We start from the raw sequence: 27,114 nt of genomic DNA on the forward strand, positions 1-27,114 counted from the left end.
ATTTATAGATACGTATATATACTGAAGTTAGCTACACACACACACACACACACACACACACACACACACATTTTGCTCTGTCAGCTGAAGAGGTCAAGATACAAGGATACACCTAACAAGTCAGATCTTTGTTTCTAATACTATTTGTTCCAATAAAAGGAACCAGGGATCCTTAGAGAGACGGCTGATTCTCAGGAAGCATACAATATAAGTCTGGAGCATGTTGTAGTTTCTTAAAAGAAAGAAGTACTTAATACCCACAATGATGGAGCACATCAAAGGGAGACTAGAGCCAATGTAAGCAGTTCCTAATGGCCTACGCTGGGACGATTTGAGCAATAAGATAAATAAGGTAGCAATGGATTATGATTCAGGTATATATACAATAAATATTCCTGTCTACACTGACATAAATAAACAGTCGAGTAAGTAAACAAATAGGGAACAAGATACATCTCCTGTGCAGGAGAATTTCAAATAGTTTGTGAAGCTCTTCCATCCTCAAGGAGGTAGAACATAACTCCTACTCTGTAAGCATGGATCGTGCATAGTGATTTCCTTCCAAAGAGTACCATATGGAAAGCTTAGAAAAGAGTAACTTTAAAGGGTGAAACCTGATAAACACTACCTCAGCCAGGTGATCAAGGTCAATATTAAAGTGGTAGGTCATGTTGATAGTATGTACTCTTGTATGATGCAATGGAAATGACACTTAACTTCTGTGGTCTTCCTCTGCATGTAACAAACATCACACTGCAATCCTGAGAAAAGCATTAAGCAAATCACAATTGAGGGGCATTGTACAAAATATCAGTACTTCTTAAAACTGTCAAGGCCATCAAAAACAAGAAAAGTCTGAGAAGTTGTCATAGCCAAGAGCAGTCTACGGTGGCATGCGACTGCAAGTAATGCAGCACCCTGGTTGGGATACTGGAACAGAAAAATAGTGTGAGGTTAATAACTACTAAAATATGAATAAAGTATGGACATTAATTAAAAATTATGTACCAATATTGGTTCATTGGTTATGACCAATGCACCTCACTTATATAGGATAGAAATAATAGGGGAGATTGGGTGTGAAGTATATGGGAATTCTACTATCTTTATCACTTTTCTGAGCATCTAAATCTTTTAAAATAAATAAAAAGTTTATTTTAAAAAATCTCATTCCAAGTTTTACCCCATTCCAATTAAATCAGAATTTCTAGGGTGTGAGAAGGGATCAGTATTTTTTAAACATCTCAAGTGCTGTCAACGTGCAGCACTGGAAACCTCTGTAGTAGAAGTCCCTGAGCTGTGGTAGCTGTTATATTTTGGTACTCCTTAATTCATACAAAATGTCCTGAGCTAAATGAAAATGTTGTGTGTTGCCTCCATTTTGTACCTATGTGAAGTCAAAATTTTAATTATGAGTATGATAAAAATAAAGTACTGGAACATGTTGCCCATTTGAGCACCACTTGATGTTACACTATTGGATATTGAGCTCCTAACTGACAAATGTATCAAGCATATAATTACAAGCAATATTACATCTTAAAATGTCTCGTAATTTTCCTCCAATTGAAATGAAAAAAAGAAAAAAGGATATGACATGCATACTCTTTCCTCTGTCTGATCCCTATGCTGTCTGATCCCACATTAATATGCTTTGGTGGATTCCACCACGATTCCATTTTTCTGCCGTTTTTTGACCTTGTTTGTACTCCAGGAGGCTGACTCTATGGACTGCAATCCTCAGGCCTCCTTGCTCTCTGATTTCCAGTTAGGTTTAGGCAAGATGGAGGAGACAGGTATCATCGTTTTAACCCAAGTCTTTCCCTTCTTCATCATGGTTCTGGCAGTGGCTGCGTTTGTTGCAACTCCAGCTCCCACCCCCTCTGGCTCACACTTGGCTCTGGAAACACAGTTGCCTTTTCTCACCCCTTCAAACTAAGAGGGAGTAATGGTTTCCTGCTGTTGCTAGTCTCTAGGTAACTCACCATCCCTTTTTTTTTTTTTTAACTTTACTAATATCTCTGTAAATTGTCTCTTTACTGAAATATTTTAACTTTTTGAGGGTGTCATCTGTTTCCTGATAGGCTTTCTGACTGATGCAATTAGTCTATCATTGTCAATTCTCTGGAAATGATGACTCTTTCTCCCCCACCTCTTTTTAAGCCAAGATAACGTCTTGCCTACTTTTCTGGCCTTAAAAATGTTCTTTGTTTTGTGAAACAATGTTGATAATAGCGAACATTATTTTCCCTAAGGCCTTATTTGGCAAAAGTAAGAGCTGGCAAACATGCTGGTTCCCCACATATTTTTGAAATTTCATTTTCAAAACTGGAGTCTGGGAACCATTGACCTAAGTGAGAATTCAACTTTGAAACATTAAGGGGATTCAGCTATCATTCACTTTACCACAAGAATCTTACAAATCTGATGAAAGTTGCCAATGGCTGTCACAGTAGACACTCAAGTTACCGGGATTCAGTTGTTTGCATAACATATTGTCCCACTCCTGGTAAAGAGGGAAGTAGTATCTGGGAAAAGTAGGAGGATCGATAAAAATTGAAGTGGTTATTTTTGTATCCACTGACACAGAAGGAGATTTTACAGCACACTATGTTTTGAGTCTCAAAAACACACGTATTGCATTTCACTGGAGATCTGATGGGGGAAGGGATGGAGAAGAGGAAAAGAGTGCATCTGAAAGTTTTAGCAAGAAGTTGCAAGGACTCTTCAATTAAGTATGGATGCAGTGTGACAGTGACTTAGAACTTCCATGTTCACAGATCCAGCGCTGTTAACTTTATACTAGTCTAAGTCTTTTTTCTTATAAATAATTACAAAAGCTCATTAAGCAATACAGACTGGGAACTTTTTTTTTCCTCCAAATTCTAGTTTATTTTTAATTGACAAATAGTAATTTTATAAATTTATGGGGGTACAATATGATATTCTGATACATGTATACTCTGTGGGATGATCAAATCAGGCTAATTAGCATTATCAGTCATTTCAAATATTTATCATTTCTTTGTGGTGAGAACACTTAAAATCCTCTCTTAGAGATTTTGAAATATGCAATACATTATTATTGCAGTCAGTATGCTGTCCAATAGAACACCAGAACTTATTCCTAACTGAAACTTCGTATCAGCTGAACAATATCTCTCCTTTCCCTGTCCACACTCTCACCCACTGCCAGCCTTTGGTTACCACCTTTTTACTCTCTGTTTCTATGAGTTTGACTTTTTAAGATTCCACATAAAAGTGGGGTATTTGTCTAGCCACGCCTGGCTTATTTCATTTTTTTTGAGACCAAGTCTTGCTCTATCGCCCAGGCTGGAGTGCAGTGGCGCAATCTTGGCTCACTGCAACCTCTGCCTCCTGGGTTCAAACGATCCTCCTGCTTCAGCCTCCCAAGTAGCTGGGATTACAGGCACCCGCCACCACGCCTGGTTAATTTTTGTACTTTTAGTAGAGACGGGATTTCACCATCTTGGCCAGGGTAGTCTCGAACTGCTGAAGTCAAGTGATCTGTCTGCCTCAGCCTCCCAAAGTGCTGGGATGATAGGTGTGAGCCACCATGCCCAACTGCTTATTTCACTTAACATAATGCCCTCTAGGTTCATTCATATTGTCCCAAATGACAGAGTTTTTTAAAATGCTGAATAGTATTCCATTGTGTGTGTGTGTGTGTGTGTGTATATATATATATACACATATATATGTATATATGTGTGTGTATATATATATACATATATATGTGTATATATATGTGTGTATATATATATATACACACACACACAACATTAAAAAAAATCCATTCATTTGTTGATGAACACTTAGGTTGTTTCCATATCTTGGCTACTGTGAATAATGCTGCAATGAGCATAGGAGTGCAGACATCTCTTTGACATATGATTTCAATTCTTTTGCATATACCCAGAGGTAGAATTTCTAGATCATAAGGTAAATCTATTTTTAGTTTTCATATTTTTAAAACTTCATACTGTTTTTCAAAATTGTTTTCAAAATTGCTGCACTTAATTGTAATACCACCAACAGTGTACAAGGGTTCCTTCTCCACATACTTGCTAATACTTATCTTTCGAAATAGCTGATCTAACAGGCATGAGGTGATATCCCATTGTAGTTTTAATATGCATTTCTCTGATAATTAGAAATGTTGAGCATTTTGGTAAATGTATGTCTTGGCCATTTGTATGTCTTCTCCTGAGAAATGTCTATGGAAATTCTTTGCCAGTTTTTTCATTGGGTTATTTGTTTTCTTGTTATTGAGTAGTTTGAGTTTCTTGTGTATTTTAGATATTAGCCTCTTATCCAATGTATAACTTAAAATACTTTTTCCCAGTTTATGGGTTGTTTCTTTACTCTTTTGAGATTTTCCTTTATTGTGCAGAGTTTTTAGTTTGACGCAATCCCATCTGTCTATTTTTGCTTTTATTGCCTGTGGTTTTGGCATTATAGCCAAGAAATCATTCCCCAGACCAATGTCGTGAAACTTTTCCCTAGGTTTTCTTCTAGTAGTTTTATAGTTTCAGGTCCTATGTTTAAGTCTTTAATCCATTTTGAGTTGAATCTTCTATAAGGGATAAGGTAATGGTACATTTTGATTATTCTTCATGTGGATATCCAGTTTTCACAATATGATTTATTGAAGAGATGTCCTTTCCCCATTGTGTGTGCTTGGTATCTTTGTCAAAAATCAATTGACTGTAGATGTATAGGTTTATTCCTGAGCTCTCTGTGCTATTCTGTTGGTCTATGTGTCTGTTTTTATGCCAGTACCATGTTGTTTTGATTACTATAATTTAGTAATATATTTTGACATCTGATAGTGTGATGACCCTGGCTTTGACTTTTCTTTCTGGTCAAGATTGCTTTGGCTATTTGGGGTCTTTTGGACTTCATACAAATTTTAGAATTTTAAAAAATTTCTGTGAAGAATGACATTAGCATTTTGGTAGGGATTGCAATGACTCTGTAGATTGCTTTGAGTAATATGGATGTTTAAAAAATATAAATTCTTCCACTCCATGAGCGCACAATATCTTTCCATTTATTTGTATAATTTTCAATTTATTTCATCAATGTTTTATAGTTTTTGGTATACAGATCTTCCACTTCCTCGGTTAAATTACTCCTAAGTATTTTATTTTTTTTGATACTAATGTAAATGGGATTGTTTTCCTCGTTTCTTTTTCAGTTAGTTTATGGTTTGTCTATAGGAATGCTACTGATTTTTGTAGGTTAATTTTGTATCCTGCAACTTTACTGAGTTAGTTTATGAGTTTTATTAATTTTTTTGGTTAGGTCTTCAGGATTTTCCATCTATAAGAGCATGTCATCAGCAAAAAGAGATAATTTTACTTCTTTCTTTCCAATTTGGATGCCTTTTACTTCTTTTCTCTTGCCTAATTGCTCTGGCTAGGACTTCCCGTACTATGTTGCATAGGAGCGGTGAGAGTGGATATCCTTGCCCTGTTTCTGATCTTAGAGAAAAATCTTCAGCGTTCACAATTGATTGTGACATTAGCTATGGGTTTGGTGTGTATGGCCTTTATTGTGTTGAGGAACATTCTTTCTACTCTGAATTTGTTGAGCGTTTTTATCATGAAAGGATGTTTAATTCTGTCAAACCCTTTTCTGCATCTATTATGATGATCATATGTTTTTTGTCCTTCATTCTGTGGGCATTTTTGTTTATTGATGTTTTCAATTGAATGTGTTTTATAATGTCAAGTACATCAAATTTAGAACAGAAAGAAAAATTTTACAGTATCTTATGCTTGGATAGGGTACAAGAAACAGGGCGTATGTTTATCACAGTTTAGTCTCCTTGACTTTAAAATTCTTCTGTGTTGGGAATATGAGGTCCTTCTTTGTTATGTTATGTTATATTTAATATTGAGTGAAAAGGAATTAACACACAATTGTTTTTTAAATTTTTATCTGTTTAAAAACTTCCTTTGTTTTTATTCTCATTACTTTCTGTTTTCTGACTTTACCTTAAGAAAAACACAGAGCAATCTTTTCCAATTCATTTTTTTCCTTTGTATACATTTAAAAGGGAGTTTTAAAAGGGCTGGATAGCTTGGTCATAAAGAGGAGTTTTTCTTTACCATTACAATCCAAACACAAGCTGTCGTCCACATGGCATGGAATAATTAGAGAACTCAAGAATTTTCTTTCTCTTGACATTTCTACTACTTAAACAAAATAATGGAAACTGATTTATTTCTTCCTTTATCTGGTGATGGAAACCACCCTATGGAAAACCTGGGAATGGTCAGCACTATGTTTTCCACTATGTGGAGAGAGTTGGTCAGTAACAGGAAATGAAACTGACTCATATGGAGAAGCAGAGACAAGAGATAGGATTACTGGTGATTTTAGGGTTCCCGAAGACCATCTACATATCTCCCATTCCTGTTGCCTGACTGTTGAAATTTTTCTGATTCCATGAAATAAAAATTCTCCTTTTTGGCTAAGCTATTATTTTGGGTGGGATTCTATAGGGTGCAAGTGGCAAAAATGTAGCTACAATTAGCTTAAGTAAAAAGAGGGAATTGAGGAGAGATCCTTAGGTAACTCACAGAATTAAAGGAAGACTGGATCAATTGAGCTTTAGCAAGGCAGAAGCAAGCACTTTAGAAGGGACTCAGAACCTAGGGCCAAGACTTAGGTAATGCAGCAGCACACTTCCCTCACGTGGCCTTTGCTCCTTCTTTCTGGACACTGTGCTCTCTGTGGAGGAATACTTTGATTACCTTATGTGTTTCCACCAGTACTTTATTTACCCCATAACCCTCATCTATTCATTGGCATTTTTATGTGCATTGCCACAGAAGGAGACGTTACAGCACACTGTGTTTTTGAATCTCAAAAGCGCAGACTAGGATTGAATTCAGGCTCTGAAGATTAAGAGAGCTATCCCACGTTAGCGGGAAAAGGAAAGCCAAAAGGGAAAGAAAGACAGCTGAGTTGGTACCACTGGGAAAGGGGCCCTGCACCTAGTAGATGATACTGTCACTAGGCAACACACAGGGGGCATTTGTGTTTATTGTTTTAAATTGAATATGTTTTATAATGTCAAGTACAGCCAATCTGTAATTGAAACAAAAACTTTGAAGTACTCTGTGAAATTCATCTCTGAGGACTGAACCCTCTGGGGGAGGAGCAATAGACACTCCCACTGCACCCCACCCTGGGTGACAGAGTGAGACCCTGTCTCACAAAAAAAACAAAACAAAACACTTATTTTAGAATTGTTTTAGAGCTAAAGAAAAATTGCAAAGATAGTACAGAAAGTTCTCGTGTACTGTACACCCAGTTTCCCCTATTATTAACAATCTTACATTCTTTCTGTCACATTTCTGACAAACAGTAACATCTGCTTAAATACTTCCAGTGACTGGCAACCCAGTGTGTCCTAAAGAGCCCCATTGTCAGATGATTCTAGAGCAGTGTGACTAGAGATGTGGTTCTAGGACCACCAACATCCACACAACCTGGAATCTGGTTAGAAATGAAGAGTCTCAGACCCCAATCCAGACCTGAATCAGAATCTACATTCAATAGGATCTCCAGGTAATTCATGTGGACATCCAAATTTGAAAAGTATTGCTCTAGTGTTCATATATATATGTATACACACACACACACACACACACACACACACACACACACACACGTGTATTTTTCCCAAAAGATGGCAACCAAGGTCTTGCAATCACATTGCCCCATTCATTAATTCATCTGTGTATTCACAAAACATTTTTTAAGAGCATATGTGCTAAGAACTGATTTAACTTGAAACTTTTTTTAGAAGTAAGATCTTATTCCTACACTAAAAAATTTCACATTCCAATTCTGCCATGCAAGAGGTAGTTGAATGAACAGGGTAATTTTTGTTCAGAAAAGAGAGGACTAAGTTTGAAGAGTTGTCCCTGAGAGACTAGCAAATGCAGGAAAATGCCACAATCTGTAGAAAACTATCACAACAGCTGAGAGAATAACAGAGTAGAAAGAGCTACTCCCCTTTATTCCAGATAGAGCTAGGGGTGGAGAGAAAACCCCTCTGCAACTCGGGTTAGTGTATTAGTCTGCTCTCTAATTGCTGTAAAGAAATACCTGAGACTGGGTAATTTATAGAGAAAAGAGGTTAAATTGACTCATGGTTCTGCAGACTGTACAGGAAGCGTAGTGACTTCTGCTTCTGGGGACGCCTCAGGAAGCTTCCAATCATGGCAGAAGGCAAACGGGGAGCAAGCTGTTTCACATGGTGGGAGCAGGAACAAGAGGGTGAAGGGGGAGATGCTACACACTTTTAAACCAGCAGATGTTGTGAGAACTCACTCATTACAGCGAGGACAGCAAAGACCCATGAGAGATTTGCCCCCATGACCCAGACACCTCCCACTCACTACCACAAGAACAGCACCAAGGGGATGGTGCTAAACTATTCAATAGAAACTGCCCCCATGATCCAATCACCTCCCTCCAGGCCCCACCTCCAACACTGGGGATTACAACTGGACATGAGATTTGGGCGGGGACACAAATCTAAACCCTATCAGGTAGCATGGGGCAGTATGTAGGAATAGCTGCGTGATGAAGGTCCTCAGATCTGAAGCAGCCTCATGGAGTTCCAACTTGCCTCAGCAAGGTGTAGGAGCAGTAGACTAATTCCTGAGCCTAGCATAGTCATGTTGCTGCGCCTTCACCCAGGTGCCCAGATCCCAGAATGGTGCTGGAGAACACTTTTCAATGCACTTCAGCAGGGCATCAGGGGCCAGGAAGGAGAGTCATTGATCCTGAAGTGACCTTTGGCATGGATCCATGTAGATCAACACTTGAAAAACAGACAGGATGAGGAGGGAGATGCCAAATTCAACAAATGACCAAATATCAGAACGTTTGCTTATTCTGGCCCTGCCTTCCTTCTGTCCCGTGTCCCTTGCTTAAAATTAGATGTGAACTGAAGGAAAAGAAATGGGAGCCTGAATTCATTGAGGCTGAGTTTCTATCATCTAGTAAAACAGGATCTCATTGAAGAAATTAAGTTCAGTTGCATGAAAAAATTAAGCCACGCTTTCTGATCATCTGCTTATGTGACCTGAAATTTAAATTTTGTCTTCTACTTCAGACTGTGTTCTTATATGCGGCAGAGAACCTGGCTACTAGCAGCTGCAGCTTGCAACTGCATATATTCACCATCTGGAAGGAAAAAGCTCTTCACCTCCTTGACTCTTACAGCATGGTGCCCTCATCCAAGCTCCTGTTTGAAAAGCTTCAGAGAACAATCTTGACTGGCCTTTTTCTAGTCATGTTCTCATCCTATTTACCAATTACAGAGTTAGGAATGTGAGATACTATGATGGTTCCAGCTTGGAGCTCTTGCTATGTGGCCTCTGAAGCCAGCATGCTGTAACTGGTAGCTCTGCCTAGATCCATGTGCTTGGTGTTAGGGAAGGAACAGTTTCTCTGCCAAAAGGGAATAAATACTTTGATCAGAGGTAGAGGAGGAGGGGAACAGGCTGATAAAAACACTGAACTGCATTATCTACCTTGTGTGCCTATACTAATAAAGGTTTCCTTAATGTCACATTGATATGATCAAAGCAAGAAACTAAAATTATGAACAAGATACTGACTATGTCTTTTATGACTCATTAGTTCAGAATTAGAACCTGGGCTCTGGAAAAAAAATAACACAGCCATTTCATTGTAAATTTGTAAACTTTGCAGCAGTTTAACCATGAGAGTTGGCATATAGGTCAGGGAATAGGCCTGGTGGGTTTTGCTGTCAAATCCCATTATACTCCTGCAGAGAATAAAGTGCTTTGTGCTTCGTGAAAATTGGTTTGTAGTATGTGTGTACCAATTATCAGGATTGTCAGAAATGTTGGCCAATTTCCTTTCAGGTTCATAGGGACTTAAATCTGAAATACTTCTCTACAAAAACTTTACTTAGCTGCATAATTCTGAAATAGCTTTATTCTGGCCAACTGCTTATTTATAACAGCCTTTTCAGGTAATATTCTAGGAGTTATTTCTCAAGATTTATTCCCTTTATTTTTCTTGATATTCTTTCAGGTGCAAGGAAATAAAAAATAATTTGGCTTATGTATACAATTTGGATAATTTTGTAGTTTTTCTTACACTGTGTTGCTCATTTATGAGAAATAGGCAAATAGATAAAGAAAATTCGGTTACTGCATGAAGTACTGAAAAAATGTAAAAAAAATTCCTTGGGGAAGTCATATTTTAGTCCACGTTCTGTTGTTAATTTTAATCTTGGGGTTAAGTAATTTTTGCTCTTGGTATGAGATTATAAACAAACAATCCAATTGACTTGCCTTTCAACTCTGAACAGTTTCTTGATCACAGTGTAAATAGCTGCTTGAATTTCACTGCTGTTACATAGCTTTTCAGATAGTCAAGGAAATATGATTCTGCCATATTCATGCCAGCAGATTCCAAAGGGCAAGGAAAGATGTTTCAACAGATCAGGAGTCTAAATGAGTTACACGTTGAGCAATTGGCCAGTGAAGAGCCACCAACAGTAACTGGGCAGCCCCAGGCCTGTAGGAGCATCTGAATGGTTCTAGTTCCCAGGAAGAGCTTCCAAAGAACACATGGTCTTACATAGATATTTTCAAATAGCTGTTTTCCTCCCAATTATTTTAGTAAACCTATGATTGTTGTAGATAAATTAGAAAAGTAAATATAAACAGGAAAATAAACTTATGCATTATTCCATAATCTGAAGATGCCTTTGATAACATTTTGGTGTATAGCTCATCATTTTTTCTTATGCATATATATTTTAAAATCCATTTAGATTATGCTGAATATATAATTCCTATAATATATGTTCTGTGGTAATTTAGAATAAAAATCCCTTCGGTATGTGAATTTAAAACAAATTATAGGCATATAATCATTGTGAAGTATCTATTCTTCAAATCACTTTTTTGTTCTTTTTAGTTATACAAATGGGAAACAGTAAAATTTGCCTTTTATACTTGAGTCCAATATATATTATTTGAGCAATTTCTAAATCTAAGATACTGTCATAAATACTTTAGGAAATAGCGAAACAACATTAATAAGACATAACATTTGCCCTCAGGGCATTTATATAGGGATACGCATAAGCAATCATTAGATGAATCAGATAATGTTTCATGATAAAATGGAAACCAAATAAATTTATAAACGATCATAGACCTTAGATAGCATGGTCCCAATCTGGGAGATTACAAGGAATATTTTGTTGGATCTTGACGTATTGGCCAGGATCTCAGCCAGCAGATGATGGTGGTGGGTGATGGTTGAGGGAGGGATGCTGTGGAATGAAGGAATAACATTCAGGATGGCATAGCATGAACAAAACCAGGAAGTGAAAATAAATGCAAAGATGCTCTTAAGTCACTGTGAGTTCTCTGCTGAAGCGGAAGAAAACACTGGTAAATTAAGTTGACAATACTCTGAGAACGAATTTCAGTTCCAGACTTAGTTTAAACTTTATCCTGTAGGCAGTGCAGAGACACAGATGCTTTTGAGCAAGTCCGTAAAATGGTCAAGGCTGTACCTTAAGAATATCTCATGGAAACTTAAATTCCTAGAAGGAATGACAAAACCATTTTTTGTGTAGGTAAGTGTTCATATAACTGTTCTCTAAACATCTCATATTTATTTTTTAATATAAGTTATAGATACAGTTTTATTTTTACTTTTGTACCCCAAGAATACCTTCTTAGAACTTCTTAGAAAAGCATAAGGATATCCTGAAGTATTTTAATGTCTAAACTTTCTTGTTATTAGTATTTGTTTTTCTCAATTTATGGCTTGACAATAGAGTGTTCGTTTGTTCTGTATGTATTTGTTCCTCTTGTCTTTCTTTCATAGAATGCCCCTTTCATTCAAAAAGCATTAATGGAGCAACTATATGAGTAGACTATCGTATTGTATAATGAGCACTATAAAAACTGTGTGTCCTGGAGAATTTGGGTTAAATTATCTGGCTGGGCCTGGAGATAGCACTTTAGTAAGATACATTTTGAATATCATGAAATTTAAAGAAAAAATTGCTAGCACTTAAGATAGTCAACTTGGTTAGTTGATATCAATTATCCTGTTAATTAAGGATTTTGAAACTCAGATTCTCCTGATTTGTTGTTCAATTTCCTTTCTAAAATTTTAAAGTACTTTTCTTTTATTGCTTATTAGCTATTTGGTTTAACTTTAAATTGCTAAAACTTTTTGAAGAATGAAATGTATTTTACAGTTACCATTTGCATTTAATGTGTAAAATTGATTTTAGGCTTTCATTAAGTCAACTTTTATACTCAAGGTTTAGAATTTTCCTTGATTACAGGTGGCTCACACCTGTAATCTCAGCACTTTGGGAGGCTGAGGCAGGCGGATCACAAGGTCAGGAGATTGAGACCATCCTGGCTAACATGGTGAAACCCTGTCTCTACTAAAAATACAAAAAAATTAGCCGGATTAGCCCGGCGTGGTGGCACACACCTGTAATCCCAGCTACTTGGGAGGCTGAGGCAGGAGAATCACTTGAACCCAGGAGGTGGAGGTTGCAGTGAGCCGAGATCACTCCACTGCACTCCAGCCTGGGCGAAAGAGCGAGACTCCGTCTCAAAAAAAAACAAACCAAACCAAACCAAACCAAAAAAAACTACTTTCCATTGCTAAATGTGTTTCCGGCTCAAGCAGAGATACTGGTTGCCATTTACTCAAATAAGCAAGCCTACTAATTATCTGCAAATGGCATGTCAAGTGACCCCCAAAATTAAACATCTTTATGTAAAAGGTTTTCTCTTCTAATGTTTACTTTGGTCTCAGAATCCATTATTTAATTAAACAGTTATATTGTTTATCCAGCTAATGCAACTCAGTGCGTAAGAAGGCATTTACTTAAATCTAAGAATATACTTGAATTTTTATTGCTATTAATTGTATTGGTGAATTCTTTTGTACCATAGCACCTTTCAAGTTTGAAAATGCAGCTCTTTTGCTGTTAGATGTAAGTGCCTCTGTACCCATTTCATAAAGACTCATCACCTATTCTGAGACCTTGATTTTGCCACCCCATCACCCTTTTCCCTTCCAAAGGCAAGGACAAACCAGAGCAATTGTAGCAACACGAAATCGCAAAAGAAAGACAAAGCTTCATGGTTCTCTTTACACCATAATAACCGAGCAGTCTCAAATCTCTCATTAAATTTTAGTGTTTCGAGTAATCTCCCATGGTTTTTAGATGGTAATAGTAATGTCCTTTTACCTCTACCAGTTTGTTCCAGACTTCTTTGATATTACAAATGGGATACGGTGTATAAAGCTGGTCAAAGTCAAGAAAACTTTGGTAAATACTCCTGTAACTATAGATACTGGTGGTTCCTGCAGGGTATTGGTATTCCAGACCTGAAAGATTCATACACAATCAATCTGAAAGTCAGAGCAGAGCAAATGCACCATAAGCTGTGAAGTTACTTAGTGGTTCTTTGACTGCTTAACTGAGCTGGTGAAAGTCAGGGCCTGTGTATATATGTTTAAGTGATAATCTGCATCAGTTAATTTTCCTGTTTCAGATTTGCCAGTTCACCCTGACCATCTTGAAAATAAGTTATCTCTGATCTCTGTCTGTATGTTACTTCTCTCCCCTCACCAACGGAGAACAAATGTGGGCAAAGTAAGTAAAGCAATCACCACCTTTGGAGGGAAGAATTGGTCATGTTCTATGGATGGTGGATCAACTCTATTGCGGATACTCAGTAACATTTTTACTCTCTAACTCATCATTTACACCTCAAATCTTTTTTATTTAAATGCTCTGAAGTTGTAGCTTTGAATAATAGTCTTCGATGTGGTAGGGGCCTTAATCACCATCATTCTAGTCTAACTCGTCTCCCATCAAATCCCATCCTATGACATTCCTGATGAACATAATTTAGCCTCTATTTAAAAATATCTATGATGAAGAGTGCATTGTCTTACCAGAAAGCCCATTCCACTTCCAATTGTTGTGAGAGTTAGAAAGTTATTCCTCAGTTTTGGTTTAAACCTGGCTCCCTCTTCATTCCACACATTGACATTAGTTCAGTTTACAGGAGCTACATAGAATAGTCTACCATATTTTCCTCATGACTGTCTTTCCAATATGTGAAGTGAACTATAATTCTTGCCTTCCTCCTAAATGTAGTTTTCTCCAATTTCATTTGGTATGCCTATTAAAATGCAGAGTCCTGTTTCTCCAGAGGTTTTTGTTGATTAGGTTTCTGGTAGGCCTAGGATTTCTGTCTGTTTTGTAGTGTGATCTGTGTTTACATCCGAGTAGTTTTATCAGGCTGTTTCTTGTCTGTGGAATTTTGGAGGTCCAATAGCTTTCTTTTGTCTTGTACTCTATCCTTTAAATTTCAAAGTGGCAGTGTTTCCACTGGTTTAAAATTCTCAAGAATCTTGTAGTTTTCCTGTGTATATTAGAGAAATTCACTCCTGAAGAAAAGAAGCTTGTTTATAGATTTTTCTTAGATAATCTTGTCTCTATTTTGGGGGTCTGCTGAGAAGGCCGAGGGGGTCCATGAGTCACCTGTTTAATCTCTTTAAAGAGCCTTTTGTGTGACTGAATACTGATTTTTATCTTTCTGAGGTAATAGCAAAAGTGTTACCAGCCACACTTCTGGCTTTTTCTCTACAATGCACTTTTCTGGCAGCGAATCCTTAATTTTTGCTGATAACATTTTAAGTCATCAAGTCCTGGCCACTTTTGGTTTCACCGTTCTTTCCCTAATTTTTATCTTTCCTTTTACATCTTACTATAAGCAGCGAGAAACCAAAATGTGCCTTCAACACTGCTTGAAAATCTCCTCAGCTATATGCCCAACTTCATTGTTTACAAATTCTGCTTTCCACATAACTGCAGGACACAATTCTGCCAAGCTTTCTATCACTATGTAACAAGTATCACCCTTCCTCCAGTTTCCAATAACACCTTTCTCATTTCCACCTGAGTCCTCACTAGCAGCCAGCTTTTTTCTTTTTTCTTTTTCTCTTTTCTTTCTTTCTTTCTTTTTCTTTCTTTCTTTCTTTCTTTCTTTCTTTCTTTCTTTCTTTCTCTCTTTCTCTGTTTCTTTCTTTCTCTTTCTTCTTTCTTCTTTTTCTTTTCTTTTTCTCTCTCTCTTTCCTTCCTTCCTTCTTTCTTCTTTCTTTCTCTTTCTTTCTCTTTCTTCTTTTCTTTTCTTTCTTTCTCTCTCTCCTTCCTTCCTTCCTTCCTTCTCTCCTTCCTTCCATCCTCTGTGTCTCTCTCTCCTTCCTTCCTTCCTTCCTTCCTTCCTTCCTTCCTTCCTTCCTTTCCTTCCTTCCTTCCTTCCGGGTCTCATTTTGTCACCCAGCCTGGAGTGCAGTGGTGTGATCTCAGCCTACTGCAACCTCCACCTCCCAGGCTCAAGAAATTCCCCCACCTCAGTCTCCCAAGTAGCTGGGACTACAGGTGCACACCACCACACCCTGCTAATTTTTGTATTTTCAGTAGAGACTGGGTTTTGCCATGTTGCCCATGCTGGTCTCAAACCCCTGGGCTCAAGTGATCCACCTGCCTGAGCTTCCTAAAATGCTGGGATCACAGGTGTGAGCCACTGTGCCTGGTCTCCAGCAGCCACTTTCATGTCCGTATTTCTATCAATAGCCTGTTAATAATGATTTAGGTATTCTCTAGGGTAATATATATTTTTCTCTACCTTGCTTCTCACTTCCTTCTGAAGAAGCAGAGTTGTTAACATCCATATTTCTACTAAAAGTCTGTTTAAGATAGCCTTCTAACTTTCTAACTTAGCAGACTTTTAGTAGAAATATGGATTCTAACAACTCTACTTCCTCAGAAGGAAGTGAGAAGGTCTTGATCTGTCGCCCAGGCTAGAAGTACAGTGGTGTGATCACAGCTCACTGCAGCCTTGACTTTTGAGTTTGAGCAATCCTCACACCTCAGCCTCCCAAATAGCTAAAATTACAGGTCTGCCCCACCAAGCCTGGCTAATTTACAAAAAAAAATGTTTTTTTTGTTTTGTTTTGTTTTTGTTTTTTGAGATGGAGTCTCGCTCTGTTGCCCAGGCTGGAGTGAGTGGCATGATCTCAGCTCACTGCAACCTCCACCTCCTGGGTTCATGCCATTCTCCTGCCTCAGCCTCCCAAGTAGCTGGGACTACAGGGGCCTGCCACCACGCCCGGCTAATTTTTTGTATTTTAAGTAGAGACGGGGTTTCACCGTGTTAGCCAGAATGGTCTCGATCTCCTGACCTCGTGATCTGCCAGCCTTGGCCTCCCAAAGTGCTGAGATTACAGGCATGAGCCACAGCACCTGGCCAAAAAAATGTTTTTTAAATATAGGGTCTTGCTATGATGCCCAGGCTGGTCTTGAACTCCTAGGCCTTAAGTGATGCTCCTGCCTTGGACTCCCAAAGTGTTGGGATTACAGGAGTGAGCCACCATGCCTGGACTTAACCGGTTTGCCCAGAGAATACCCACCAGTGGCGTCTGTAGCTGTAGCATTTACCCCAAGATAACTTTGCCAAGAAATATGCTTTTATTATTATTTTCGCATCCCTCTGGTATATTGACTTCAGAAACAAAAGACATCACTCTATTGATCACATTCTGTTTTTAGTAGTGATATTTCCATTTACAAAATATAGTAATTCTCAATCCCTGAAAATGTCAAATCCTAGAAAATGTGGCATTCCTATGAATGATGTTAACATCATTATTGAAGAGTTGTTTGCCAAGACCAGCTCGGCTGGGGAGACCCTAACCCAGCGGCGCTAGAAGAATTAAAGACACACACACAGAAATATTGCATGTGGAGTGGAAAATCAGGGGTCTCAGCCTTCAGAGCTGAGAACCTCGAACAGAGATTTACCCACATACTTATTGACAGCAAGCCAGTGATAAGCATTGTTTCTATAGATTATAGATTAACTAAAAGCATTTCTTATGGGAAATAAAGGGATTGGCTGAAGTAAAGGGATGGGTTGGGCTAGTTATCTGCAGCATGAATATGTCCTTAAGGCACAGATCGCTCATGCTATTGCTTGTGGTTTAAGAACGCCTTTAAGTGGTTTTTGGCCCTGGGTGGGCCAGGTGTTCCTTGCTCTCATTCCGGTAAACCCACAACCTTCAGCATGGGTGTCATGGCTATCACAAACATGTCACAGTGCTGCAGAGATTTTGCTTATGGCCAGTTTTGGGGCCAGTTTATGGCCAGATTTGGGGGCCTGTTCCCAACAGTTGTTGGCCAAAGATTCATTTGATTAACCTGATTTTTCCGTAACAGACGATTCCGATGATTCTGGTGTTAGCTCTGTTTAGAAATAACTCCAAGAACAGTTTTTATATTTTATTTTCACATTGAAAATCAGTCAGATTTGCTTCAGCCTCAAAGAATGTGTCTAATGAAAATTAAATGAGCGCTGGCAGTGAGCTGCACTTTTCTTTTTCTAAATGGAAAAAGGGTTAAGGCCTTTTGTCTGATCGAAAACCCTTAAAACAGCCATCTGACTCAAAGGCCTGACAGAACCAGGCCCACCATGATTATCTAGGATAATCTCTTGCATGTACAGTCAACTGATTATGGACTTTAATGACATCTAGCGACTCCTGGATTAGTGTTTGATTATGTAATTGGGGACTGCAGCCTAGCCATACTGATACATCAAAAAGACTGTCACGGTGTCTTCTATCACTTATTCCATTAACCAAAGCTGCCACCTCACATAACACAATAATTTATTTTCACTTGAACATTTAGGTTTTAAAGGGACTTATTCTCAGAGACATGTTAGGAATCAAAATAGAAATAGTTCCATATCATTGGCTCATTGAACACAATAGTTCTTGAATTAGCAGTTACAACTTACAAGTTGTAAATTGTTTTTCCATGAGGACTTAAAAGTTTCATGTACATTAAATATAAATTTCTTTTGGCTGGAAATGGCATTGGTACTATTTAAATAGTCTATTGCTGGCTGGGCACGGTGGCTCACACCTGTAATCCCAGCACTTTGGGAGGTTGAGGCGGGCGGATCAATTGACGTCAGGAGTTTGAGACCAGCCTGGTCAACATTGTGAAACCCCGTCTCTACTAAAAATACAAAAATTACGTGGGTGTAGTGGTGGACACCTGTAATCCCAGCTACTCGGAAGGCTTTTATATGCATTTTTGAATGCAAATTTTTAAGATCTGTGTGGTAATTAGACATATAATCATAGTTATAATTATTATTTTATACTGAAAAACTTTCCAAAAGACATTTAGGGTATCATGGCCAAAGCGAGTCACTGTTTTATTTAAAACTACAGTCAGTTCAACCACAAGCTTTTCTGAGTGTCTATTGTAGTGGATATATGTGCTTTTCTTTGTCAACTTCCCCATCAGTAAAAGCACCCTAATTTTATTTTGGGGTTCCACTTTCTCCCTGCCCTCAGTAATTTGGTTAGGTTAAGACTCACCCTCCTCATATCCCCCATTTTCCAGGTTTACTTGGAAAATAGTTTCCAGGTTTACCATTTTCCCATTTACTTGGGCAGTCATCATATTCCAACTCTCTGGCCACACGACTGGTGCGGGGATGGGCCTGTAACCCATGTAAGTCAATGAATAAGACCCAGCTTGGTAGTTATTAAGATATAGGTTGATTGCTTAAAATTGTAAGAGTGGAAGAGTAAGAAGGAAAGTCAAAGAGAAAACAGTTGAGCCGGAAAGAAAACGGAGTCATTCAAATCATTATTCGTAAAGAGTTTCAAGAAGTGGCGTATCAATATTCTCAACTTAATAGTTGGGCAATATTTATGTTTTTGAAACTAACAACTAAAATACTTGGATAAAATATTTCTCCTGATTTAAGTAACTATAATTTCAGTCATGATTCATTGTTCCCAGCAGGATCTGTATCTGTGTAAGTGGGCATAGTATTGATTTTTTTTCAAAAGAGAAGATAGGTGATCTCATTAATTTCCTTTTCACATCAAAGCTTTCCTTTTAGGGTTTTTTTTTTTTCCTTCTCTCAAAAAAAATACTGAATGAGTCAGGGTGCTAATCTGCTTTGCTCTAGTAAATTCTATCTTCTCATTGTAGAGATGTTTTTCACCGTAGTAATAATTTGCTTAGCTGCTTGGTATTTACTCATGTATTCATTCACAGTTCTTTATCAGGCTTCAGGTATGTACCCAATATTGTGCCAGGTGAAATGAGATTCAAAGGTGTCTCCTAGCCTAGAATGTAAATTCTATAAGGACCTTCTCACTCGGAGCACAGTATTGGCACATTATCAGAAATCTATACAGATGCATTTAGGATGCATTTCTGTAACAATGGTCACTTGTGAGGTGCCATGCTTGACCTTCAAGTATTGCCTGAAACTCAAACACAAGTTGAGGGTTTGAGCCTTTGTACTTGTTTCCTACAGGGCAGTTATTCTTCAAAATGCCCAGGTTTAATGATACTTATTTTTATTTTTTATTATTTATTTACTTTTTTGAGACGGAGTCTCACTGTCACCAAGGCTGGAGTGCAGTGGTGTGATCTCGGTTCAATGCAACCTCTGCCTCCTGGATTCAACCGATTCTCTTGCCTCAGGCCCCCAAGTAGCTGAGATTACAGGTGTGCACCACCACACCCAGCTAATTTTTGTATTTTTAATGGAGATGGGGTTTCACCATGTTGGTCAGGCTGGTCTTGAACTCCTGGGCTCAAGTAGTCTGCCCACTTCAGTCTCCCAAAGTGCTGGGATTACAGGCATGAGCCACCATGCCCGGCGATACTTATTTTTAGTAGTTCACAATGAAATAATTAATTATATTTAGTGCCAATACAATTTCAAATAATGATGCTGGAATGACACCCGATACCACAGTAGGCAATGATTTTGATCTCTATTAGTTTACTAGTTATAGTGGGTTAAATAGTGACTTCCCACCAAAAATGCCCACATCCTAATTCCTGTAACCTGTGAATGTGACCTTATTTGGAAAAAGGGTCTTTGCAGATGTAACTACGTTAAGAATCTCGAGATGAGACCATCCTGAATTATCTGGTTGGTCCCTAAATCCAAAGACAAATGTCCTTTACAACAAAAAGAAGAGAAGAGGGCACAGACACAGAGGAGAAGGCAAGTGAAGATGAAGGCAGAGACTGGAGTTACGTGGCCACAAGCCAAAGAATTCCTGAAGCCACCAGAGGCAAGGAAGGATTTTCTCATAGAGCCTTGGGAGCCAGTACACACCTGCTGACACCTTGATTTTGGAATTTTAGTCTCCAGAGCAGTGAGAGAATACATCTCTGTTTGAGCATTAAGTTTGTGGTAATTTGTTACAGCAGACCTAGGAAACTAATATGTTAGTTCGTACTGATTATTTAATTAAAGGCTCTTTTTGTATTGTTTTGTTTTCTAAATAGTCTGCAGAAACCTACCTCAATTTTTGTCTCCATCCAATAGAGACACCTGTCTGTCTGTTGAGATTTGGTGGAAATCCAAGGGTTAGTGTTTCTGGGTTATTTTTCGCCTACCACAGATAGTGCTGAAAGCCCATTTAGTACACAAATATGACACTTCTGAATAAAGTGGCTTCAACAACTGGTCTGGAGATCCAAGTGCTATTCAAAAAAGTGACACTCGTTCTGAGAGGCGATTCCTATGAAGGAGAAGCTCCATTTGCGAAGTTATAGCAAGGTTCCTTCCATAATGCACAGCAGCTGGGCCAGGGAGCCGGGAGTCGTCGCTTCTGGCCTACCCATCTCTGGGCTACTTCCCGCAACTCACTTTCCCTGTGTGCCTGGAATGCTTCTTCCTATGAGGCCGTTAGTCAAATTAAGTAGAGGCCTTTAAAAATTAGCCATCCATCCAATCTAGAGAATGTCCACTACGCTTCATTCTTTCTCCCTTACCCTGTTGATTTCTTCCATATCACCCAGCGCTGATGGTAATTGTATGAATACATGCTTATCTGTCTGTCCTCCCACCCCTAACTCTAAATTCAAGGAACTCTATAACTGCACCTAGCATATTGTCTGACACTCCTCAATAAAGACGCATTTAATACATAGACAAATAATGAGTGAACATTTTGAGTGGAGGGCCGGAAAATGTCTATTTACTTTGGAGTTGGAATCAGACTGTTCAAGAGTACTTTCAAAAAAAATTTTGCTACGTCAAACATCATTGAATTTCAGGATTGAAAGAGTGGTGGTCATATAGCTCAATCCCCTCCAAACACCCCCACCCACCAGATGCGCGAATGCCCTCTTCAGCCTTCCTGATAAGCATGACGAAGATGCTGGCGGAAGCATCCCTGGTATCAGGAAACTCATGACCTCACTAGTTTTGATCTTTTCCATTTAGCTTTCTTTTCCCACTCCTCCCAGTTATTGCAACCTTAATTGTAGCATTTTACACAACTGCTGCTGCAGAGTTCTGGAAGTCTGGGGGTGGGAGGGACGGGGGAACCCCAGTGCCTATCTCAAGCCTGCGGTCACCGACGCGGGTCCGGGGTGGGGGGGTACTGCCAGGGAACTCGCGGCACCGCGTGCTTGCTGAGTTCGCCTGGGCTCTCGGCCTCCCTGCGGGCAGGGGTCCTCCCTCCCCAGCGCCGGGTCTCTCCTCCCGCAGGCCCGCGGCCACCCGCAGCGGCATTCCCCGCCGCCGCCCCCGCCACCTGCGCGACCGCCCTAGCCGCTCGAGTCCGCTCCTCCCGCTCAGGGGCGGCTGCGGAGGGCGCGGGGCGCACGCGGGCGGCCACCCGACTCTTCCCTCCCTTCTCCCCACCCCAGCCTGCTCCTGCTCAGCCCCACCTCCCCACGCACTCGGCTGCCCTCCTCCTCTCCTGAGAGTTGCCCCGCACCTTGGGCGAGGAGTTCGGAGCGGCCCCATCGCAGAGCCCACGGCCAGCCGAGCGCGCGCGACGCAGGTGCCCGAGCCCCGGCGCCGCCGCCATCTCTGCCTTCGGTCGAGTTGGACCCCCGGATCAAGGTGGGACCTGCTTCCCTCTCCGACACCCCCTATTGCCACCTCTTCCCGCTCTGGGTAACTCGAGAATGGGGCTTTGGGACGCGCGTGGCAGACGCGGAGCCCCGCGGGCCGCTTAGGGACTGGGAGTCCGGGGCAGCTTAGCGGGACCACCAGAGGGGCCAGCGCCCGGCGGGCGGCGGGGGTGGGGTGGGTGCGACGCCGGGCGACTCTCGGCTCCCGTGGGGCGAGGAAGATCTGGACACACGGCTGACAGCAGCCGGCAGCGCCTGGAGCGAACCTGCTCGGGACCACCGAGAGAGCATGCCACCCGGCCAACTTCTTTTCCAGGCTTCGTGCCTACTTTGGAAACTGAAGGGACTGCCACCTAAAACAGTAAACCCTGGGGTCCTGAAGAGAATTTGCTGGTTCGAATGACAAGAGAAAAAATAATTGTTCTGTAGGGATGGTTTAGACCTCAGCTTTTGTTTCCCACCTCCCCCCTTCCCTGCAAGCAAATTAAACAACAACAGTAGCAGCATCAGCAGCAAAACCCCAAACCCAATCCTAACCAAACCACTTACTGAAAGAGATTTGTAGTGGTGAGAAAAAGAGACCCAACTGAGGAATCATTTGGGAACCGCAGGTATGGTGCCATTTAAAAACTGGTTCTTTCTGGTGTTATTTCTAGAACTTGTGTTTGCAAACAGATTAGAATTCTGGGCTCTTGTCAGCCTAATGGAGTTCTTTATACTGAAGGGTGGCCTGGGGTGTCCTCTGTTAACATTTATTTCTGTAAGTATTAAAGTATATTGAAACAAATACCCTTTCACGGCTCTGGAATTGGAATCAGAAAATCTGAGTTTTGGTGTGATTTCCATTTTATTACCTATGACACTGTGGTTCGTTTAACCTCAGTGGGCCTCAGTTTCCTCATTTTTTCAAGTTGGAGGGTTGGATTAAGATAATTTCTGAGGGCCTTTTGAGAATATCTAAGGTATGCCCCAGAATAAAAAAGTATAATTCCTTAACTCTCTTTAACTTGTTACAAACATTGCTAGTTTCATAATTTCATGAAATAAAAACAATCTGTATTAATCTTGGCACTAGTTTATATGCATTTATGACTTAGGCTTTTAGGATTTTCCCACCAAAAGGTATAGAGAAAAACATGTATAAAGAGCTCAGAAACATATAGATTTATATGAATATTTACACCTCTCATACTACCTTAAATAATCTTTAAGCCAGTATTTGCAACACTGCAACAAAAATACATGGCTTTAGCATAGCACGTATTCTCTTTAAGTATTGTACATCTGGAGGAAATAAAAATGTGTTTGAAGGAAAACAAACATTGCACCTTTCCTATCAATTATTGTTCTTGAACAGTGCTGGCTACTTTTTAGCATAAAGTTGTGGGCAGAATGTTAAAAAATTGGTTTCAGGTCACTTCTGAGCCGCTGTGAAATTAAGCACAATAGCAGAGATGCCAATTTTAGTAATGCAGTTAGTTGCCTTGGAATGAATCCCAGAAAATAGCAGAGATTAACTAAACAGATAAACCAGAAATTAGGAATGGACACACGCACACACAAAAGTGTCTACAGTGAGTATGTACTGTGAAGGGTTAGTGTACTTCATACTTTCTTTTTGATTAGAAGAAAATGTCGGGTTGTTTTAGCAGACAGAGAATGTTACAGTAGCTTTTGTTGCTACTTCTAATGTTTTATCAGTAGCATTTTCAAGATTATTTGAAACTTAGTTATCACTAGTAAGGACAGGTTTAAGAATATTTCTGCCTCTTTTCGGTGGCTTGGATTCAAAATAATAAAACAATCTTTTCTCACCCACATGTACTTTGTATGCAGTTTGGGAGAGTGAAATGGATTTGAAGTACTCTTTTATGAGTACATTTTAACTTATTTTCAGTGACTTTTTGCCTTTGGGCTGGAAATGTCGTAAGTTACTCAGGCATTTATCTTCCCTCATATTCTCTGGTGAAGTAGAGATAGTCATCTCCGTTGAAACAGATGCTCAGAGATGTAAGTAAATTGCTTGTTGAGTGAACAGGGAATCGTAGAACTCAAATATACCCTGGTTGCTAAGTCATTTGGAAAACAACTGAAACTGGATGGATCCAACAGCTCACGGTCCACAGCCAACTCATTCATGGCTTGGGAGTGTCATCATGGGTGGCAGAGGCTCTGTTCCTCCTTTGTAATGTGGGGACTTACTCTCTCAGCAATTTACTGAGAAAAAAGTAATCTCTTCACACTTAGATCACTATTATAGGAACAAATGGTGTGTATTTGTGAAGTGCAATATTTCTGGGAGGTCTTGGAAATAAATACTAAAAGTATCCAGAAAAAAAAAAAAAAGAACTCTCTTGGCAGATATTGTACTGCATTTTTCATACTGAGAGCCAAACACACCCACTTAAAGAGTATGTCCTGTGGAGTTAAAAATGAAGAAAAAGGCTTATAGTCTGCTCTAATTCTTAAGACTTTATGTGATTTACAAATTCCAGTTTTAATTAAATTAGAAAGTTGCAAATGTTCACCTACTGGCCACACTCAGTATGTACAACCTTTTGGAGTTGCTCTTCAAATACGATCTGCTTATAGTTTGGAATATTCCTTCTCAAACATGTTTTTTGGAGTCTTGCTATGTTGCCCAGGCTGATTTAATACTTTTTGTGACTTAATAGTGATATTACCTGTTATCATCACACATAATCTTATTAATATTTAAAATATTTTAAAACTACAAATCTTATATAAATATAAATAAAATCTTTAAAACATTTGAACTGTAATGAATATAGAGAGAAGCATATAAAACAAATTTAATGGTTGACAGATAATATGATAAATCATTATAATAATTGTAAGGCAAATTTCTCATTATTCACCACCCCCAAAAAAAGAACATTGCAAATATCCCAAAACTTCTTGTTTGTTCCTTCTTCATCACAAATCTAATTTACCTTTTTTTAAAAAAAGAAAGTTATTTACTTATTTATTTTGAGACGGTGTCTTGCTCTGTCGCCCAGGTTGGAGTGCAATGGCTCGATCCCAGCTCACTGCAACCTCCGCCTCCCAGGTTCAAGCGATTCTCCTGCCTCAGCCTCCCAAGTATCTGGGATTACAGGCGTGTGCCTCCACACCTGGCTATTTTTTTTTTTTTTTTGTATTTTTAGTAGAGATGGGGTTTCACCGTGTTAGCCAGGATGGTCTCAATCTCCTGACCTCATGATCTGCCCACTTCGGCCTCCCAAAGTGCTGGGATTACAGGTGTGAGCCATCATGCCTGGCCCAAAAAAAGTTTTATATGATTATGGTAGGCATTAAATCATAGATTATTTTGCTTAACATTATGTTTATGAGATTAAGGGATTTCTTCTCTCTCCTTTAAAACAATATTTTTTGAAAGAGTTATCTCGGCTGGGCATGGTGCCTCACGCCTGTAATCCTAGCATTTTCGGAGGCTGAGACGGGTGGATCACAAGGTCAGGAGTTCAAGACCAGCTTGGCCAAGATGGTGAAATCCCATCTCTACTAAAAATATAAAAAAATTTATCCAGACCTGGTGGCAGGCGCCTGTAATCCCAGCTACTCCGGAGGCTGAGGCAGAGAATTGCTTGAACCTGGGAGACGGAGGTTGCAGTGAGCCAAGATCGCACCACTGCACTCCAGCCTGGGAGACGAGTGAGACTCTGTCTCAAAAAGAAAAAGAAAGGAAGGAAGGGAGGAAGGGAGGGAGGGAGGGAGGGAGGGAGGATTGTCTCTATTCCCTGTCTCCAATTATTCTCTTCACACTGTTAAAAAAAACTCATTCCTATTAATCTTGTTTTCAATATTCTGCTAAAACTACGTCAAGGTCTACTACTGTCAAGTTCACCAATGATACTACCTTTGCTCATCCAGTAGTCAGTTGTCAGTGTTCATTTTACTTCACTACTGGTAGCATTGTCACGGTTATTACTCTGCTCCTTGAAACAGTCCCTTACTGACTTCCAGGACACCATGCATTCTTGATTTTCCTCCTTCTTCACTGGCTGCTCCTTTCTGTCTCCTGTGCTAGCCTCTCCTCTTTTCTTAGAGGTTTTAACCTTGGAATACCTTAAGGTTTAGCTCTTTTTTCTCCATGCTTTTTGATGATTTCATGCAATCTCTCTATGTGTGTGTGTTGATGATTCCGAAAGTGATAGCTCAAGCCTTGACTGCTCCCTCTGGACTTCAGATCTTTATATTCCAGCTGTCTACTGAGCATTTCCATTTGGATGTCTAGTAGGCATCTCCAGTTCAAATTCTCCACATGGAATCTTCATCTTTCCCAAACCTGCACTATCTGCAGTCTTCCTCATCTCCATCTTTCAAGTTAGTTAGGCCCCAAACCTTGGAGTCATCTTCGATTCCTCCTATTCTCTCATACCTCGTTTGTAATGTGTTGGGGAATTCTCTGTGCTCTATCTTCAAAACAAATCCAGAATATAATGACTTCTCATTACTTCCATGGCTCTGTTACAGGAAAGGGGTCCCAATCCAGACCCCAAGAGAGGGTTCTTGGATCTCATGCAAGAAAGAATTCAGGGCAATTAGGTAGAGTAAAGTGAAAACAAGTTTATTTGGAAAGTGAAGGAATAAAAGAATGGCTACTCCATAGAGCAGCCCCAAGGTCTGCTGGTTGCCCATTTTTATGGCTATTTCTTGATGATATGCTGAACACGGGGTGGATTATTCATGCCTCCCCTTTTTAGACCATATTGGGTAACTTCCTGACATTGCCATGGCATTTGTAAACTTTCATGGCGCTGGTGGGAGTGTAGTAGTGGGGACAACCAGACGTCACTCTCGTCATCATCTTGATTTTGGTGGGTTTTGGCCATCTTTTTTACTGCAACCTGTTTTATCAGCAAGATCTTTATGACCTGTATCTTGTCCTGACCTCCTATCTCATCCTGTGACTTAGAATGTCTTAACTGTTTGGGAATGCAGCCCAGTAGGTCTCAGCCTCATTTTACCCAGCCCCTACTCAAGATGGAGTTGCTCTGGTTCAGACGCCTCTGACAGCTCCCACC

General features: G+C 39.7%; 1 protein-coding gene across 6 annotated transcripts in view; it reads left to right on the forward strand.

Annotated features, from left to right (window-relative positions):
- The window catches only part of LEPR (leptin receptor), a 220,908-nt gene that overhangs the window by 83,112 nt on the left and 110,682 nt on the right, over positions 1–27,114 (forward strand). For 2 of the 6 annotated variants that reach the window (NM_001198689.2, NM_001198687.2), the window contains exon 1: positions 21,888–22,055. The exons of 3 other annotated variants lie outside the window; for them this stretch is intronic. The gene's annotated coding sequence lies outside the window, so the exon portion shown is untranslated. Of the gene's footprint in view, positions 1–21,887; positions 22,056–27,114 lie in introns of those variants that run through there. One more of the 6 variants, NM_001198688.1, reaches the window with a different exon arrangement.

The sequence above is a fragment of the Homo sapiens genome, chromosome 1, assembly GCF_000001405.40.
Source record: "Homo sapiens chromosome 1, GRCh38.p14 Primary Assembly".
Classification (NCBI taxonomy): Eukaryota; Metazoa; Chordata; class Mammalia; order Primates; family Hominidae; genus Homo; species Homo sapiens.